We start from the raw sequence: 19737 nt of genomic DNA, 5'->3' as shown, positions 1-19737 counted from the left end.
CTATCTTCAAAAACAAACAAACAAACAGAAGGTGATGCTTTCTGCATTGAATAGCCTTTGTGCCTTTGCAGGAGTCTAATGTTAGGTTCTCTGGTCTGTTCTATTGATTTATGACCTATTTTTCCACCAATACTACACTCTCATGATTATATAGCAATATGGTAAGACAATATTATTCTTTTTCAAAATTGTTTTAGATATTCTAGGGCCTGTGGCTTTGCATAAATATTTTAGAATGAGCTTGTCAAAGTGTAAAAATACGAAACAAAACAACAACAACAACAACAACAAAATTTGTTGGGATTTTCATAGGAATATCACTGAACCTGTGAATCAATTTGAAGAGAAATTACAGCTTTATTATGTTGGCTCTTCCTATGAGCATGGTATACCTTTACATTTATTTGGTACTTCTTTCATTTCTTTTATCAGCATTTTGTAATTTTAGTGTATAGATAATGTACGTGTTTTGTTCAGTTTGTACCTAAGTATTTTATAATTTTTTTGGAAAAATTATAAATGGTACTGTGATTTTAATTTTGGTTTTGATATGTTCGCTGTTACTATTTAGAAATGTGATTCGTTTGTCTGTGTGTGTCTATGCATGTGCTACTTTCATATGCTACAATCTTGCTTAACTCTCTTATTAGTTCTACAAAACATTTCTACTTTGCAAACTACTTGAAATTTTCTACATAGATAATTGTATCATCAACAAATAGAGACAGTTTTTCCTTCCTTTCCAATTTGTGCCTTTTATTTCTTTTTTACTTGATTCACTGTAGTTTTATGTTGAATGAGAGTGACGAGAATTGCCTTTTTTTGCCATGTTCTTCACTTTAGAGTGGAAACACTAAATATTTCAACATTAAGTATGATATTACTTTTTCCAATTTGTGACTTTTTCCTTCCTTTCCAATTTATGCCTTTTATTTCTTTTTTACTTGATTCACTGTAGTTTTATGTTGAATGAGAGTGACGAGAATTGCCTTTTTTTGCCATGTTCTTCACTTAAAGTGGAAACACTAAATATTTCAACATTAAGGATGATATTACCTCTAGGTTTTTTAATATATCTTTATCAAGTTGAGATTTTTTTTCTACTGAAAATGTACTGAGTTATTATTATTACTATAAATAGATGCTAGCTTTTCTCAAATGACTTTTCTGCATCGATACAGTCATGTGATTTGCCTTCTTAGCCTGCTGATATGTTGGATTACATTGATTTTTTTTAATATAGAACCAGCTTTGCAAACTTCTAATAAATCCCACTAAATCCAGTGTATCATTTTTTAAAAACATTGTACATAGGGTGGATGCGTTCCTCCTCTTGCTTTCAGGAACGTCCGACTCTGTCTAGGGAGTCCTTTCACCACTGTACTTTCTCAATAAACTTGCTTTTACTTTGCACTGAATTCTTTCTTGTGTGAATTCCAAGAACCCACTTTTGCAGTCTGGATCAGGACCCCTTTCCTGTAACACTTTTACTTTAAATTACCTATGCTGTAAAATTTGAAATCAATTATTTGTAAAACACCATAGAGTTGGTTTGTGATTTTTCCCTCCACTCCACCAGTCTGACTTTAATTGGTATTTCTATACTATTTTCATTTAACGATAATGCTATGTTGTTATAACTTAATACTTACACTTAATACTATGATGTTATAACTTAAAACTGCTATTTTGTGTTTTTAATTTATTTTCACTGTGTGTTATTCCTCTGTATCTCTTTTATTACCATTAAAATGAAGTATTAACTCTTTGTCTTAATTTTGTTGCTGTAATGGAAGATCACAGAGTGGGTAATTTATAAACAATAGAAGTTTACTTGGCTTGCAGTTCTGGAGACTAGGAAGTCCAAGAAAGTGGCATCCATGTTTGGTGCCATCATCCATGGCACCAAATGCATCATCCCTTGATGGAAAGTGGCAGAGCAAGAGAGTGTGAGACTGAGAGAGGAAGAGGCCAGACTTATCCTTTTCATCAGGAATCCACAACTGTGATAACTAAATCTCTTCCATGATAACAGCATTTGTCCATTCATGAGGACAGAGCTCTCATTATCTAATCACCTGATAAACTCCCACCTTTAAATACTATTACCCTGAGGATTAGGTTCCCAACATATGAACTTAAGGGAACACATTCAAACCATAGCATTCTTTAATATTCTCTTAGTTATTAATCATTTGTTTACTCTGTTTTTAGTCTCATTTCTCAATTTTTTTCATATACTCGGTGGATAATACAAAATTACCATAAGTTTCTTTATGTCCCATACTCTCATCTGATTTAGCAGATCTTGTCTTTGCTAAAAATATCCTTCCCAAAATTTTCATTTTGGCCACATTGTACTTACTCTTCAAGATTTAGCATTGTACTTTCTATTATAGAAGATATGCTCTGCCCAATTTTCCCCAACCTTGAAACTTTGCCCCAAACCTTGCTTTTTCTTAACTAAGAATCACTTACCTAAATCTTTTATCTCCTGTATTTCTCAATTATGAAACCCATTGTTGCATTTTGTAATTATTGGTTTACTTATTTGTCCCCCATACCAGATTCTGAACCTTTTGAGATCTGGGTTTACATTATACTCCTCTCTATATTCCTGTTTCTTAGCCCTATATCTGACATATGGAATTCACTTGTTAAATTCTGGTTATATAACAACGTTAAAATACTTTGCATATAATTTATTTTAGTGAAAATATGTCAATAAAGATATTTTATTATTAATATTAAAATTCTCTACTTAGAAAATAAAGTGTTAACAAACACTAAATAATTTCTAACTATATGTTCAGTACTGCATTGGGTAGGGTTTGAAAATACATAAGAAGAGAAATCTACTCTCAGGTTATAGTAATCTGTTTGGTCAGGCATGCTTCCACCATAAAATAGTGCAAACTATCCAAAAACTAATTGGGCTTCAATGGAATGGTGGGTCAATGAGCTTTTGCACTAATCAGGAAGGAAAGATAGGAAAAAGTGTGAGTCTGAAAGCAATACTTTCCAAGCTATAATTTTAAATTGCTCATGGATATTCAAATCTTTCTTTTATTATTGCCAAACCAGTTTATTCGTAGTTAAGATGAACAGTAAAACAGAGGAGGGTAGCCAGAGAGTAAAAGAAGTTTTACTAGGTAAACTTAGAAAAGTTAAACTTTCATTCACTGCATTTCTCTTTTCTTACAAAAATTGTGTATTGAATAAAATTATATCTATTTGTGAAGGTTATGAATAAAATAAGGAACAAAATTCTAGGTCTTATAAAAATAGAGGATCTTTGAAAAATAAGCAGAAGCATTATCAGTCTGCTTATAACACTGAAAGAAATATTTTCTCATGATAGAAAACAATATACTCTAACATTTTTAATCCAAAATACTTTTATGGGCAAACTTGTCTGAACAGTACTCCCGAAAGCCCATAAACCCCTCTGAGATACTCTCATATTAATGAGTTTTAATGGTGCCTTTGAATAATACCTAGATGACTACAGCACTACTTAAAAGAGAAACACACCTGTCACACTAATTAGAGTTCTTGAATGACATTGAAAGAGATAACTGGTTAAATCATTTTCTGCAGCACCAGATTTAATTGACATAGATATAATGCCAGTAATAATTTTATGCAATTGCAAGATCAGGAGTTTAATATATCGGGCAGTAAGGCAGGGATTTTCTTTCTCTGGCAGTGCTGAACAAACCTCTCTAATCCTTTTCCTTTAGCTTTCCCTTATTTCTAGGCTTAAGTTTAATAAAAGGCTAAAAAAAAATCAAGATTCCTCTAGGCTTCTCAAAGCTCAAGCATAGAGAGAAAAAGATGTTATCTCAGGGAGGTTGTGGCTCAGAATCATTAAAAAGACTAATGGCAGGATCACAGGACTAAGTTTACAATTCCCTTTGTATATCGCAGAAGCACCCTCTCTTGTAGTAAACACTTTATCTACTTTCATCTTGCTTCCAAATTGCCAAAACGGAGGCAAGTGTCCAAGAGGGATTGGATGATTATAGTTTACAAGGTGCTCAAAATGTTTCCTTGAATGTTCAATCTGGCTTACCTATGATGCTTGTTTATTCATTTACAAGTTATTCCAAAGCCTTGCTATATAGAACTAGGATATTTTGACAAAGTGGACTTCCACAGCATGTTTTCTGTAACATTTAATGTTTTACAGTTTAGAATTGTCATGTTCTATAGAAGTCAGCATCTTGTGGCCATTTGGCAGAAGTGATAAAAAGCATAATATTTATGCAAGTCTTTGAAATAGGCCAAATGATTTTCAGTGTAATAATCCATTTTTTTTTACTTTGTTTTAATTATAAATTATGAAGAGCAGAACTCAGGCAGATCTGAAGCCTGAATCTTTCTGCCCCTGTGACATTCCTGCTTTCCACGTTTGTTTTATGCTTTCTTTTTAACTTTTTGAACAGAATGGCTCATTTACAATGTTCTTTCTTACTTGACTTTTGATCAGTATTATAGGTGGTCATATACAATGTTCTCATTTTCATTGTTTTCTAAAGCTTATGTAATTGTGGTTTTTTATTAACATTTAGACCCCAAAATTATTTAATGGAATGTATTTTTCATGTGGCTATTTTTTTCCTTTATACCTTTGTAAACCATATTTTAGATTGAATGCATGTGGATCATAAAATGTATCCTTTGAAATATCTTCTTTTAAAAATTCATTGAGATTCTATTTATAATCTAAAGTATAATTTTACTTTTTTTTTAGAAATAGGCTGTGGAAATTAAAAGGGCAAGTTGTAGAATGGAATTTCATAAATATTTATCAAGTCCTTTGAAATAAAAAACAATTTATAATATGTTTAATTTTTAAAAAGTATAGGATTATTTTACCAATAAAAATGAAATAAAAATTACCCGGAAATTGTTAAATAGATCAATGTAATTCCATATAGTAGCGTAATATGCGACTATTAGAATTTATGGCATATGAGAACATTACCAAGTTATATTATTTAGTGAGAAAAGCAGGTTAATAGAATATACAAATAATGTTCACAAATATATCTTGTTTTTTTATAATTCCCCAAAGGATAAAAAAAAGATGCAATCACATTAAATCAAATTTTAATTTGAGGACACTACATAGCATCAAAATAAAGAATACAGTGTGATATAATCTTTAAATTAGATATAATTCTGATTCTTCTTCTTCTCTCTTTTTTTTTTAATGTAGGAAAGGAGAATGGTTTGAAAATGGTAATGAGGAGAAAGAATGACACTGACACCAGCTCCAGGTCCCGTGGAATGAAATCTATGGTAAGTAGTGTTAACTAGGGTCCTTAGAAGAGGTTCAGACTTACATTCAAACATAAAGATGAAAGAAATATTTCGAACACAAGTATGAGATATTTAACTGTTAATGGAGCATAAATTTCAAATGGCATCCAGAAACTATTTTAGAATTTGAGGAAGCATTAAAAAGGAGACAGAATAGTAGCTATATAAAGATATATGATCATTCATGTAAAGAATACAAGATGTTACTAGGAATATGAGCATTTTCTTGGCACTAAATTAATGAGATAAATATATCTAGCTATATATCTATCTAGATAGATAAATATATATATATAGATAAAATAGATATGTATAGATATATGGATATAGATATATAGAGAGATTAATTCTGGTGAGTTTAAGGCAATGTGTGGGTCAGGGTGAAAGAAAGGAATAGATATCTCTTTACTATAATACTTGGGTAGATAGTGAGCAAGTAATGGTCTTACACCCAGGGTGTCAGTTCACTCTGACTTCCTGTTTAGGGAGAAGAGATCTTATTCCAGATACGTACACTATCTTGATAGCTTGCAGAATTCTGTAGAAGGTATGTATGACACCAATCACAAGAACACTTTTATTATCAGAAAGTTATGACTGTGGGTGTAGGCACATTTGTGTGTATGTGAAAATGTCTACAGACATGTAATGTCTCTTTCTATCTGGTTTTGCTAGATAGAAGTGATGCATTAAAAGTCTATTTTTTTGGCCTCAGAAATCTCTGAAATATTATTTTCTGTCTTTTCTTCCATATGCCCTTAAAAAAAAAAGTAGCCTAACCATATAAAGAATTTGATCGCAATTGCTCAAGCTGTAGAGTCTAGAGGACATGTAACTCATGAATGTCTGGAATTAAAATCTCAAAAGAATCATTAACTTTTTAATACTCACTTGAAATCCTGCCTTTATGAGATTTTTTTCTATTGAAATACTTTTGTGTATTCAGTTCTTAAGGAGAAGAATTTGCCATCTTGTGTTTTTGTCCTCTGTTGATGTAACTGAATCTAATGCTTGCATGTCTTCGTGAGTTTTTTATGTGTATGAAGGTTAAATTTTGGCTTAGGCATCACTGGGCTATTAATTTCTTGTGTGGTCTTATGAAATGTTTGGATATGATCACAAATCCTTCACTGGTAATGTTTATTTTTAAAAAACAAAAAATATATCAGGGATTTTTCTTTTTTTTTGGAGGTAGGATTTTTTTTACGGACTTCGTTCTTGCTTCTGGAATGCCAAATTGGGAATTATCCAGTTGGCAACCGCTTTTTATTACTTGAATAAATATAGAAAAATTGTGCTTTGTTTTATGCCAGACATTATATTTTTTCTTAAATGGAATGACTTATTCATTGATTCACAAATTACATATTGAGTTTCTGCTATGTGCCAGGCAGAGTTTACAGTGTCTGGGAGGAATGGTAACTAAAACAAACCATAATGCTTGCTGATGTCTAGCTTACATTAAAATGACGAGATGAGGGAATAATATAAATTAAACAATATAAATGTAAAACAACTAAATATAATGATTAGAATATGGTACGTGTTACGGAAGAAATAGAGTTGGTTGAAGGGAATCAAGAGTATGAGAGTGATAAGTGGGTTGCAATTTTACATAAGGCTGTGGGCTCAGGTCTTACTAATCAGGTGATATACATGCAAATATTGGGAAAGCAATACAGAGAGAGGGAACACCCCAGTGCAAAATGCTTGAAATGGGATTGGACTTGTGTGTTTGAGGAAAAACAGAGAGGTCATTATGATAGGAGCTATATAAGCAACATAGAAGGAAATGAGGCCACAGAGCTAATAGGAGTCAAACAATTTTGACCATTATAGGCTATTTTAAGGACTTTCCATTTAATTCTGAATAAATAAAAAGAGACAGCATTGAATGACTTGAACAAGAAAGTAGCAATGTCTGACCTCTATGTCATAATGGATAAATAACTCTGACTTCTGTTTTGATAATAGACTGGTAGGGGCAAGGAGATGAACCTAGAGGCTATTGGATCAATCGATAGCAGAAACAAAGATGGCTTGGATCAGAATTGTAGTGTGTAGATAATGGTTGAATTATAATGTATTTTTTTAGTAAAGCCAAGAGAAATTCTTGACAGATTCGATTTAATATGATAGAAAAAGAGTCAACAATGACTGAAAGCTTTAGTCTGAGCCATTAAACGAAAGAAGTTGTCATCTGCTGAAGTAGAGATGATTATGCTTTGTGTGTGTGAGTATGTGTGGGGGTGTATCTGTGCATATTTGGGATATCTATTAGGTATCTTAATGGAAATGTAGCAAGTTGAATATATGCATCTGGACTTAAGGAGAGTGACCAGCCTGAAGATAAAGCTTTGAAATTCTAGGCACACATTTGACTATAAAGCCATCTAACTGAATAAAATGATGATTCAGTGAATGTGAGCAGAAAAGAGAAGAAGGCCAAAGACTGATCTCTAGTATCTACAACACTAAGATGTTGGAAACAGAAAAAGAATTCAGCAAATAGCCCTAAAAAGGAGAGACTGGTAAAGTAGGAGGAGAAAAGAATTGTGTGATACCTTGGAAGCTGACTGAAAATGAATTAAAAAGGAGGGATTTGTAGTAACTTAAATGCTCATAATGGTACATTACATAAAATGTGAGGCTGGTGGTAATAGTAAGGAAATTAAATTAGGATGAGACACAGGCAACTTAGAGTTAGGAGGTCCAGAGTGGAAGAGAATGGAAAGGAAAGCATGAATATCTGTATAAAAAATAATAGTATATCAATATAGTATATCAATAGTATATCAATGTATTTGTGACAAATACACCTTATCAGTGTAAGATATAATGTCCTTCCATCCCCCAAAAATGTCTACCTCCTAATCCCCTAAATCTGTGAAACTGTTACCCTACATGAAAACAGGCAACCTACAGATATAAATTAAGGGTCTTGAGATGGAGAGATTATTCTGGATTACCTAGATGTGCCTAATCACAAGAGTCATTATAAGAGAGGCAGGAGGCTCAGAGTTATCGATGTGATGATGAAATTGAGATGTGTGTGAGTGTGTGTAAGAGAGATTGGAAAGTGCTACTCTGTTGGCCTTGGAGGTGGAAGAAGGGAGCTATAAGCTAAGAAATAGAGATAGCCTCTAGAAGCTGAAAAAGGCAAGGAAGTGGATTATCTCCTACAGCAAGGGTCCCCATTCCCCAGGTGGCAGACTGGTACCAGTCCATGGCCTGTTAGGAACCTGGCTGCACAGCAGGAGGTGAGTGGCAGAGACCCAGCATTACTGCCTGAGCTCTGGTTCCTGTCAGATCAGCAGCAACATTAGATTCTCATAGGAGCCCGAACCCTACTGTGAACTGAACATGCGAGGAATGTAGGGTAAGTGCTCCTTATAAGAACCTCACTATCTCATACCAGTTAGAATGGCGATCATTAAAAAGTCAGGAAACAACAGGTGCTGGAGAGGATGTGGAGAAATAGGAACACTTTTACACTGTTGGTGGGACTGTAAAGTAGTTCAACTATTGTGGAAGACAGTGTGGTGATTTCTCAAGGATCTAGAACTAGAAATACCATTTGACCCAGCCATCCCATTACTGGGTATATACCCAAAGGATTATAAATCATGCTGCTATAAAGACACATGCACACATATATTTATTGCGGCACTATTTACAATAGCACAGACTTGGAACCAACCCAAATGTCCATAAATGATAGACTGGATTAAGAAAATGTGGCACATATACACCATGGAATACTATGCAGCCATAAAAAACGATGAGTTCATGTCCTTTTGTAGGGACATGGATGGCTGGAAACCATCATTCTCAGCAAACTATAGCAAGGACAAAAAACCAAACACTGCATGTTCTCACTCATAGGTGGGAATTGAACAATGAGAACACGTGGACACAGAAAGGGGAACATCACACTCTGGGGCCTGTTGTGGGGTGGGGGGAGGGGGGAGAGATAGCATTAGGAAATATACCTAATGTAAATGGCGAGTATGGGTGCAGCACACCCACATGGCGCATGTATACATGTGTAACAAACCTGCACATTGTGCACATTTACCCTAGAACTTAAAGTATAATAAAAAAATAAATAAATAAAAATAAAGAACTTCACTAATGCCTGTTGGTCTAAAGTGGAAAAAGTTTCATCCCCAAAACATCCCCCTACAACTCCAACCCCATCCATCTGTGGAAAAATTGTCTTCCACAAAACCCATCCCTGGTGCTGAAAATGTTGGGGTCTGCTGCCCCAGAGCCTCCAGAAGAAACACAACCCAGCAGACAAATTGATTTTACTGCTTCTAACCTGCTTTAAGGCAAGACATTTGTGTTGTTGCAAGCCTCTAAGTATGTTGACATTTGTTAGAGTAGGAATAGGAAATTGATACAGTTTTGATAATGGAGAAAACCGAATGTGGATCATATGGGGATATCTGGGTTATCTTTGTAATAATTCTGTTAATCTAAAATTGTCCCAAAAATAGATAGTTAAAAACAAATTTCAATTATTGAGCGGTATGACGTAAAACCCAGCACCTGGGGTAACAGCATACAGGCCTCTGACATATTATAGCCCTTAGAACATATACTTAGCTTTGCGTTGTCTTCCCACTGTCTTTGCTTATTTCATTACCGATGGTTACTCAGCTCTCTGCTCAAGTGTCTCTTCCTTAAAATTTTCTTATTTTATCAACTCTAAAATCAGCAGGCATTTCTTCTTCAGATTTCTCTAAAATTATTTTTTTCTCTAAAAATACTGTTAAGGAATATAAATAAATGTTGAAAATTGGAAGAAGAGAATATTTGCCAATTGAAATTGTTCAAAATGATTTACTATGAAACCACTTAATAGACTATCATGCAGCCTTTGAAAACAATGAGAAAAACTAAAGGAGGCTTTAGGGAGGAAAAAAATAAAACAATAATTGCAGTTGTATTCAGATATATATACATATGTAACTAACATGGTTTCTACTGGCTCAAAATGACAATGCCATCCTACACCTTAATAGTGGTTTTCAACGAATATTTAAAAATCATTAGTGCCATTGAAATATTGTATATTACAAAATAGCTAGAAGAGAGGCTTTTGAGTGTTTTCAATACAAAGTAATGATAAATGCACGAGATGATAGATATGTTAAAATACCCCTGATTTGATAAACAGCATATATACATATTAAAACATTAAATTTTACACCATAAATATGTACAATTATAATGTGTCAATTAAAAAAATAAAGGCTGGGCGTTGTGGCTCACACCTGTAATCCTAGCACTTTGGGAGGCTGAGATGGGCAGATTACTTGAGGCCAGGAGTTCAATAATAGCCTGGCCAACATGGTGAAACCCCATCTCTACTAAAAATACAAAAATTAGCTGAGCTTGGTGACCCATGCCTGTAATCCCAGCTACTTGGGAGGCTGGGGCATGAGAATATCTTGAACCTGGGAGGTGGAGGTTGCAGTGAGCCGAGACTGGGCCACTGCACTCCAGCCTGCATGACAGAGTGAGTCTCTGTCCCTAAATAAATAAATCAAATAAAATTATTGGTGGAAATTATGTTTCTGACAGATAAATTATAATATTAAAGCACATTATGTAAAACAGACAAAACTAGAGGTGTCCTGGTATGAAACTAAATAGAGGTAAAGAGAACCTTGAAAGGCTTCTTCCTTCTTCCCTGTATGTCTCCTTACAATGAATTATTTAATGTTCTTGAATTTCCTATCAGCATAGTATAAAATCACTGGACTAAAACATAGGTATTATAAAAACTAATTCACTAAATTAGTGGACCCCAAATATATGATTCTATATTCTATCTGTTAAAAAGCTGAAGTCTTCCTACCTAATACATTTCTGTTTATGTGTTTATAAGTTATAGTTACACACTACCGTACTAATGTATTTTATATCATACACAATATACAATGTTTGAATCAAAACATTCACATTTTTAAAGGGTGAGATTTTAAAACTAATTATAAATTCAATTCTAATATTTTTTTCTGACACCCTGAGGCATTCTCTTACATACCATTTGATTGACTTACATGTGACTTCAGAGACCATGACCCTAAATCAACAATCCATAGAGGGCTGTTTTCAGTCTAGGTGCTGTCTGTGACAGAATTCATAATTGTAAATAGTGAAATCTGATAAATAAGAACAACATAATCAACTGTTTATAAAGTTAGATTGATTACGTTTGGAAAACAGTCCTTTATTCTGAAATTATTGAATTTATTGTGTCTAGCAAACTAAATAGCATTGTTTTATTTTCCAAATGTCACTGACAATATGTGTATATTGTTCTAATTTTTGTAGTTATTAAAGTCTGCTAGTTTCCAATGTCTGGGAATTGTAGTTTGGCAGAAAATTGTTATATGTGTACAAAATAAATAGAATGAAGAAGTCATCGAAGAGAAGCTGATGATGTTTGCATTCAAATGATGATTAGATTATATTGACATTCCGAATAGATCTCCACTAAGTGCCACAGTAGTGTCACAGCTTACTGGTGACATCTCGTGAGTCCTGTTCCACCTAAGTGGGGAAAACTTCAGTCTATTAGAAATTAAAGAAAAACACTGCTTGGGGTAAAGATATATCTTTTTTGAGTACTTTTGCAAAGTGCAAATGCAACTATGGTAAATACCACCAGAGATGAGAATAGTCAGTTCACTTATCTCAAGTTAAATATGAGAGTAAAACTACAATTTTAAGCCTAGAAAATACATGCTAAAGGCATATTAACTTGGAATTTGGAACTTACTCTATTGACTACATTTTTTTCTACATTGGAAAAATCAGAAAAAAAAAGAAATGGAGAATTAAACATTATAGAAAACAAAAGAAGAGCAAAAATATGTTTTAATAGAAATTTTAAAAATATAGCACTTATCAAATTTGTTTCAACCATGACCCTGAATTTATTTTTGTTTCTTTAACTTAACTCATTGAAGAATGTGAAAGATCAATGGTGTCTAAGTTTGATCAATAGAATAATATCAAAAATACTTTTTCACAAATGTAAAGACTTATTATCTTTAACATATATAAAAAGGCTTTTTTTGAAAATAAATAACACGTTTTTCCTTATTAACCAAAAATCTACCTTCTCAGTTTCAACAAACACATATGTAAACTTTTGTTATGAATGTCTGATTGATGGGAGACCGCTGCTCCAGCCTACCTGCTATACAAAACTCCAATGTGAAAAAAAAAAAAAAAATAGATTGCCCAGAACTCTGTTCACAAGTGGTGTCATGAAAACTTGAAGGCAAGTTCTCTGATCCTCAGTGGCTCATTCCAAATCACTCATCTAAGTATTGCAAGTAGAAATATGTTTTCCGTTGAAATATAAAGTCGCTAAAAAGTAATTTCAATATAAAACTGTTGTTTTCCAACAGTAACAGCTAATCTTATTTTATATTTGACATATTTAGAATAAATTTTAAACACATATCCAAGAGTAAAGGAAATAATTAAAAAATGTTTAGGACCAAATTCCTGTTGTGGAATCTAATTGTTCTGGCAAAGAATGGCCAAGGAGAAGCACAAAATAAGTAAGTGAATTGCTAACTGCTAAATGATACATGAGTAAAGCCAATCCAAGGAAATCCTCATGATGAAATATTCTGAGAGAAGTTCCACACTGCCAAACTTTTAGAGAAACATCTTTAGGCTCTTTGCTTAATGAAATGTCCTCAGATACACAGAGATATGAAACTTCTTGAGAGTCTTCTAAATACTAACATTTTTTACAATATATGGCTTTTAAATGTTCAATAAAACATCATGGCATTGAACATCTGGGACACAGGAAAAATAATGTCATGGCAAAAATATAAGTTTGTAGAGTTTCCATGTAAAAAAAAAAAACAGTAAGTATTTCAGATGTTCTCAACTAGTAGATATGTGTGGAGAGATATATAGAATAATGAGAAATTAGCTCTTTAAGAATTTAAGACATTATTATCTATGTGTTGTTGAAATTTGCCCCCGCTAACAGACAAAATGGACTCTCCCTGGCTAACTGAGCTTCTCAAAGTTAAAGCAGAACCAGGCCATCATAGTTAAGAGAGGGAACAATCACGTACTCTGCATTCCTAGAAAGATCTAAGTGTCACAGGACCTCCCTTTTTACAACCAAGCCAAAGAAGTTCCTGTTGTCAGTGCCAAGATTAACTGTGACCAGAAACTCCCCGTGCCACTCACTGGCTGTTTGAAAGAAACATCTGACAGAGACTTGGCTGATTTTGGGTCTAGAGACCACCTAATCAGGGCTCAACTATTTTGGCCAATCAGAAATGAACAAGTTTGAAACTTTCATTTGTGTAAGTGGACCTGGTTGATAACCTAGGTGAGAACTTTCCCTATTTAAGCCAGTCCCTCCCTTTGTTCTGTGGAGAGCATTCTTTTATTTCTATTGAATGTTATGCCTCCCCAATCAATGGATTATTTTATAATAGAAATTAAGCTTTCCATTTTTTCTCCACAGATCTCATGGCCTTTGTTGACAATGTGAATAAACCTTCCAAACATGCACACAGTTAATCATCTATGAAATTTTTTTTTTTTAAAGTGGCTGCATAAGAAATGTTATATTATGTCATCTGGACATGGTAGCTCACATCTGTAATCCCAGCACTTTGGAAGGCTAAGGTAGGAAGATCACTTGAGTCCAGGAGTTCAAGACCAGTCTGGGCAACATAGGGAGACCCTGTCTCTATGAAAAAATAATTTAAATACATTTAAAAATTATAAATAAGAATAAATGTCATATTGTTCAGAAAAGAGATCAGAATTTAGGAAAGATGCAGTGGAGAAGGCAGGAGGGAAGTTTTCCTAGAGAAGTACAACTTAAGAGATCATACACAAAATATGTCAGCTTTCAAAGTATGCCCCACCTTGATCCCTGATCTAACCAGATTTATTATTACTTTGGCTTCACAGTGTTAGAAGACATGGCCCAAAACCTAATTGTGAAGTGAATAGAGTTTTTTTTTGTTTGTTTTTGGTATTGTATGGTTATTATTTTAAATACTCTCTTCCTTTTACATTCCTCACAAATGATTGGCCTATCTTTTTGAGAAAAAACACTAATACTCTCAAGAACTTGAAAAGAAAAATATCAAATTCATATGACTCTTTATGTAAAGAGACCAATTATCTCCTGAATAGCTGCCCAGCATCAGTCATGTTCAGAGAATGGGAAGTAACATTGTCTCTTCTTTTTTGGCCTGAACAATTTGTGGAGGGTTCCTCTGTGAAATTTTTTAGAAATTGTGTGTGTGTGTGTATGTCAGACCATTTTTCTAAAATAAAGTTGTAAAATGATAATGTTGCCAAAATATGCAAACCAACATATGTGTTTTCTTTACCACCTTTTTGAAGAACATTTTTGGCTTGGGGAAGATTATCTTAAAATTATATTTCCCAATAATATTCAAAAAATAAGGAAATGCTAGAGGAGCAAATTCCAATGAAATTAACAGCAATAAGGGCCCAAAGTGGTGAGAGTTTGACTTAGTTGAAAAATAACACAGGAAGTCAGTGAAGCTGACTTTTGTGAGCTAGAAAGAGAATAATAAGAGGTGAAGTTGGAGAGGTAAGAATATATATTTACCTATATTATTAAGGATATGCCATAATAAGAGTTTACATTTTATTCTAATTGCAATAAATAGATGTTATAGTGATTTACACTATATCTAATTTGCATTCATAAATGACCCAAGCGGCTACTATGTTGAGAATTAGTTTAAAGGCTAAGAATAGAAGAAGGGCAGCTAGTATTATGGTATCCCTGGAAAGACATAATAATGACTTTCTTTTTTTTTTTTTTTTTTTTTTGAGACGGAGTCTCACTCTGTGGCCCAGGCGGGAGTGCAGTGGCGCAATCTCGGCTCACTGCAAGCTCCGCCTCCCGGGTTCATGCCATTCTCCTGCCTCAGCCTCCCGAGTAGCTAGGACTACAGGCGCCCACCATCACGCCCGGCTAATTTTTTTGTATTTTTTTTAGTAGAGACGGGGTTTCACCGTGTTAGCCAGGATGGTCTCGATCTCCTGACCTCGTGATCCGCCCACCTCGGCCTCCCAAAGTGCTGGGATTACAAGCGTGAGCCACCGCGCCCGGCCCATAATAATGACTTTCTAAAGGTGAAGAAAACTTTCCTTCCACCCTCTGAAGGTTTGAGCTCTGTAATGATCTTGACAGTAGACAGATTAGTAAGACAAATCTGGATGCTCTGGCTCATGCCTGTAGTCCAGCTATTCAGGAGGCTGAGGCAGGATGATCCCTTGAGCCCAGGAGTTTGTGGCTACAGTGAGCTATGATCCATCCCAGGCCACTGCATTCCAGAGTGGCAAGACTATCTCTTAAAAAATAAAAAAAGAGCAAGACTCTATCTCTTAAAAAAAAGAAAGAGAGAGAAAAGGCATACACATTTATTATGTGCATATGCACAGGAATCCCACAAAATATAAGACTCAAAGAGGGGCCAGATGGTTGAAGCTTAAATAGCATTTTGAGCTAGAGAAAGAAATAGGGGCTTGTTGTGGAGAGGTGGCAACACAGGCCATGGAGGGTGAGGGGAGGACATCCATGATGAACAAAGGTTTTTTTACTATACAGATCAGGTTTCTCAGGCAGCCTTCAGAAGAATAGGTGATGGGCTATGCAAAATTCTTTCTGGGCTAAGCATTGATATGATCTTTTCTAGATCTGTTTTAGGCAGATGAAGAGGCTCAGAGAAAGCCTATTCTTGCATTTGCTGTTTACTAATGTAGATAGATGTGAATTTCTTTTACAAAAGGACAGCTTTTCAGATCTATTCCTGTGTCTGCAGCTTCTCTGAATAGCTATCTCAAAATATGCCAAGAAGTATATTTTGTGAGGGCATATTTTAGTCTCCTATAGTCCCATTTTGGGGTAGTGTGTCCTGAGTCCCAACAACTTCAATATTAGGAAATGCAAATAACAAAAGGGGATGTATATACTTTGTAATTAAAGCAAAATGTAAAGGTCAATACAATATATCTAGATAGGGACAAAAAGTGTAACCAAAATAATCCTTATGATTTTTGGCTGGAGCAACAAGATAGGTGTTAAAGTTCTTTACTGAAGTGAATAAAATTGAGAAGTAACAAATTTGGGTGGAGTAGAAGACAAAAATCATTTTGATTATCATTTGTTTTCACTCCTTTTGAATAAAATGCAAGATGTCCATCTATTTTTTTAAATCCTTGATTTTTCATTATGTTATGGCATTCTACCTTATGATCGTATGCTAATTCAAATGAATATCTCTCTATTATTGAATATTTGTGTCTTCAAGTGCTTTGAAACTATTGACAGTTGCCCTCCACAAAGACCACCTGAAAAAGCTGTTGATTAAGCAAATTTAAGTTGATTAGACTTACTGCAATAAGGAGGGAATATCAACTTGAAGTAGTATTAGTAGTGTCTCAGTATGAACAAATTGGAGGATAGTTACAGAGTCTGATGACCTGATTTGTGTAATATTAAGGTAGGAGTTGTAATCTGTGTAAACGCCTAAGATTAGGAACAATTTATGATAAAGTGGCTTTGAATTGATTGGCAATGTGAATTAAGGGTCTTGAAATAAGTCTTGAGCAATCTGTTAGTCTTGATAAGAAAGCTATTTTAGGATGGGTGCGCTAGCTCACGCCTGTAATCCCAGCACTCTGGGATCGAGACCATCCTAGCTAACATGGTGAAACCCCGTCTCTACTAAAAAAATACAAAAAATTAGCCGGGCGTGGTGGCAGGCATCTGTTGTCCCAACTACTGGGGAAGCTGAGGCAGGAGAATGGCGTGAACCCGGGAGGCAGAGCTTAAAGTGAGTCGAGATCACGCCACCGCACTCCAGCCTGGGTGACAGAGCGAGACTCCATTTCAAAAAAAAAAAAAGAAAGCAATTTCAGTGGGCTCACTGTCATATCTTCCAGAAGCAAATATTTGATTGTCCCTAGCATTTTATGATAAAGACACAGAAATTGTCCAGTATTGTTCAATATAAGGACAGGGAATCACATTGATTTCAGACCTCAATACATGTTGTCAAATAGCTCTCAGTGAAGTTGACATTAATTTAGATGTTTCTGTATTTACTCCCACTGATTATATTTTTACTTGGATTTGGGGAATAATTACCTGAAAGATTGTTTATTATACTCAGATTTTGATGTGCTATATTGCTACATCTGATTTTTATTCATCTTTTAATTCTTAATATCAGTTTATAAACTAATAAAGGATAACTAATAGTTGGTCATTAATTATTCAATAAATATAATTATTAAAAATATACATGTGCAAACCAAGCATTAGTCTTCTAAGAAGAAATACTAATTGAGAGAAAGGTGTTGAAAACAGTCCCCTAAACTTTAGGGAAAACATATGAATGTCTCTAGTAAGAGCCACTTTTGTAATATTTTCATTATAGCATTTCAACTGTCAGAAGGATTAGTGAGCAAAGATGGCTTTGGCATATTTTCAAAATGATTCCAGGTATTGAATCCTTCATTTAAGGAGCCATAGCAATGTTAGACAGATGATGATAGACTTTCTTCCCAGTGGGAACACTTGAGTTGCATCTCTCACTTACCATTCTCATGCATAGTGACTATCACAAATAGCTGTAGGAGATTAGCCAGTTTGGCTGGTTTTATCCAGGCAGAGCTTTCATGGCAGGTATCAAAAGAAAGACACCTAATACTCATAATCCTTGTGAAATATAACCTAAGGGGGAGGAATTTCATTTTTTACAGAAACTTTGCTGGAAAATGTTTTATAAAGCAAAAAGCATTTCAGATAATGCATTGCAATCTAATTATTTCTCTATTGACAACGATGACCTTTTTACTAAAAAAAAAAACTTCCTTAGACCCAAAACAGTTACAAAAGAGTAAAAGTGTCTAATCTATATTCTTTAAAATTGCAGATAAACATACATATATAACATTTTTAATGCAAAAGAGTAAAATGTGAAGGGTACTAACTTGTATTTTTTAACATGCTGAATGAATGCAGCATACAGTGTGAATTTAATGGTTCCTGATAAGATTTGTCTCTGCGTCTCTACTGAAATCTCATCATGAATTGTAATCCCCATGTGTGTAGAGGAAGGGACCAGGTGGGAGGTGATTGGATAATGGGGGTAGTTTTCCTTATGCTTTTCTCATGATAGTGAGTGAGTTCTCACGAGATCTGATGGCATTAAACTGGCACTTCCCTCTTCACCCTCTCTCTTCTTCTGTCATGTAAGACATACATTGTTTCTCCTTTGCCTTCTGCCATGACTGTAAGTTTCCTGAGGCCTCCCCAGCCATGTGAACTGTGAGTCAATTAAACCTGTTTTTATAAACTACCCAGTCTCAGGTAGTTCTTCATAGCAGTGTGAAAACGGCCTAATACAATTTCTTTTCAAATTTTATTAACATTTTATCGTAAACTGACGTCATTTATTTAATATTTTACTTAAGTTTTCAATATATAGGTTTACCATGTAAATATGTATTTTCTTATCAAGAAAGCAGTACAGAATAATTTTAAATTCTTAAAAAATAAATTAAAAGAAAAAATTATTAATAACTGTACCATCAGAAAGTCATTGTTAATAGTTTTATGTCTATATATATATATACACACACATCTCATTTACTATTCAAAAATTTAGAACATGCAGCACATTTTTTGCAAATTTCCAATAAGCTGTAATAACACATATATATGAAAAAAATGAACTGAGTAAACTGTTCATTTCATGGAACTAGAAGATAGAATCAAATTACAGAAGTATAAAAGAAGCAATTATATTTTAAAAAATCTAAGACAACCAATTCTAAGACAATAAACAATGAAACATTTTGTGATTGCTAGGAGTTGCATAGATGGCATACAATCTTACTATTAGAGCCTCTAAGTTAGTTCCAGTCATCATTCCTCTACTGTCCTGCACAATGCCGTTTTCTATTGGGCAAATTTTCATTCCTCTAGGAAAACAAAATTCTATAAACTTTCTTAAATGGAAGCACCCTGTTACCTCACTAACTCTTCAATAATTCTACACACACACGCACACACACACACACACACACACACCCCAAATTATTCTGTGAAAAGCAATTGTAGCAATTATGTTATCACATAATATTATAGGATTAGATGGGTTTTTTCCAAATAATTGGAGTTTGTGCTTTTCATAATTTTCCAACAAGTGCCATAGTAAAAGTTTTTTGGTCCCCTGGCACAACTGTCATGCTAAGTATTTACCATAATAGTCACTGGAAAGGGGTCCCAAGAGAGGATTCTTGGATCTTTCTTACACAAGAAAGAATTTGGGGCTGGGCTGCAAAGTT

General features: G+C 34.2%; 1 long non-coding RNA gene across 1 annotated transcript in view; it reads left to right on the top strand.

Annotated features, from left to right (window-relative positions):
- Positions 1-19737, top strand: part of LOC101927967 (uncharacterized) — a 547036-nt gene that overhangs the window by 410445 nt on the left and 116854 nt on the right. Inside the window, exon 2 of the long non-coding RNA NR_110288.1 lies at positions 5225-5307. This is a non-coding gene — a long non-coding RNA (uncharacterized LOC101927967). The remainder of the gene's footprint in view (positions 1-5224; positions 5308-19737) is intronic.

Source organism: Homo sapiens, chromosome 2 (genome assembly GCF_000001405.40).
Source record: "Homo sapiens chromosome 2, GRCh38.p14 Primary Assembly".
In the NCBI taxonomy this organism is placed as follows: Eukaryota; Metazoa; Chordata; class Mammalia; order Primates; family Hominidae; genus Homo; species Homo sapiens.
The sequence above is the reverse complement of the archived record's forward strand: the minus strand, read 5'-3'. Positions and strand labels throughout refer to the sequence as shown.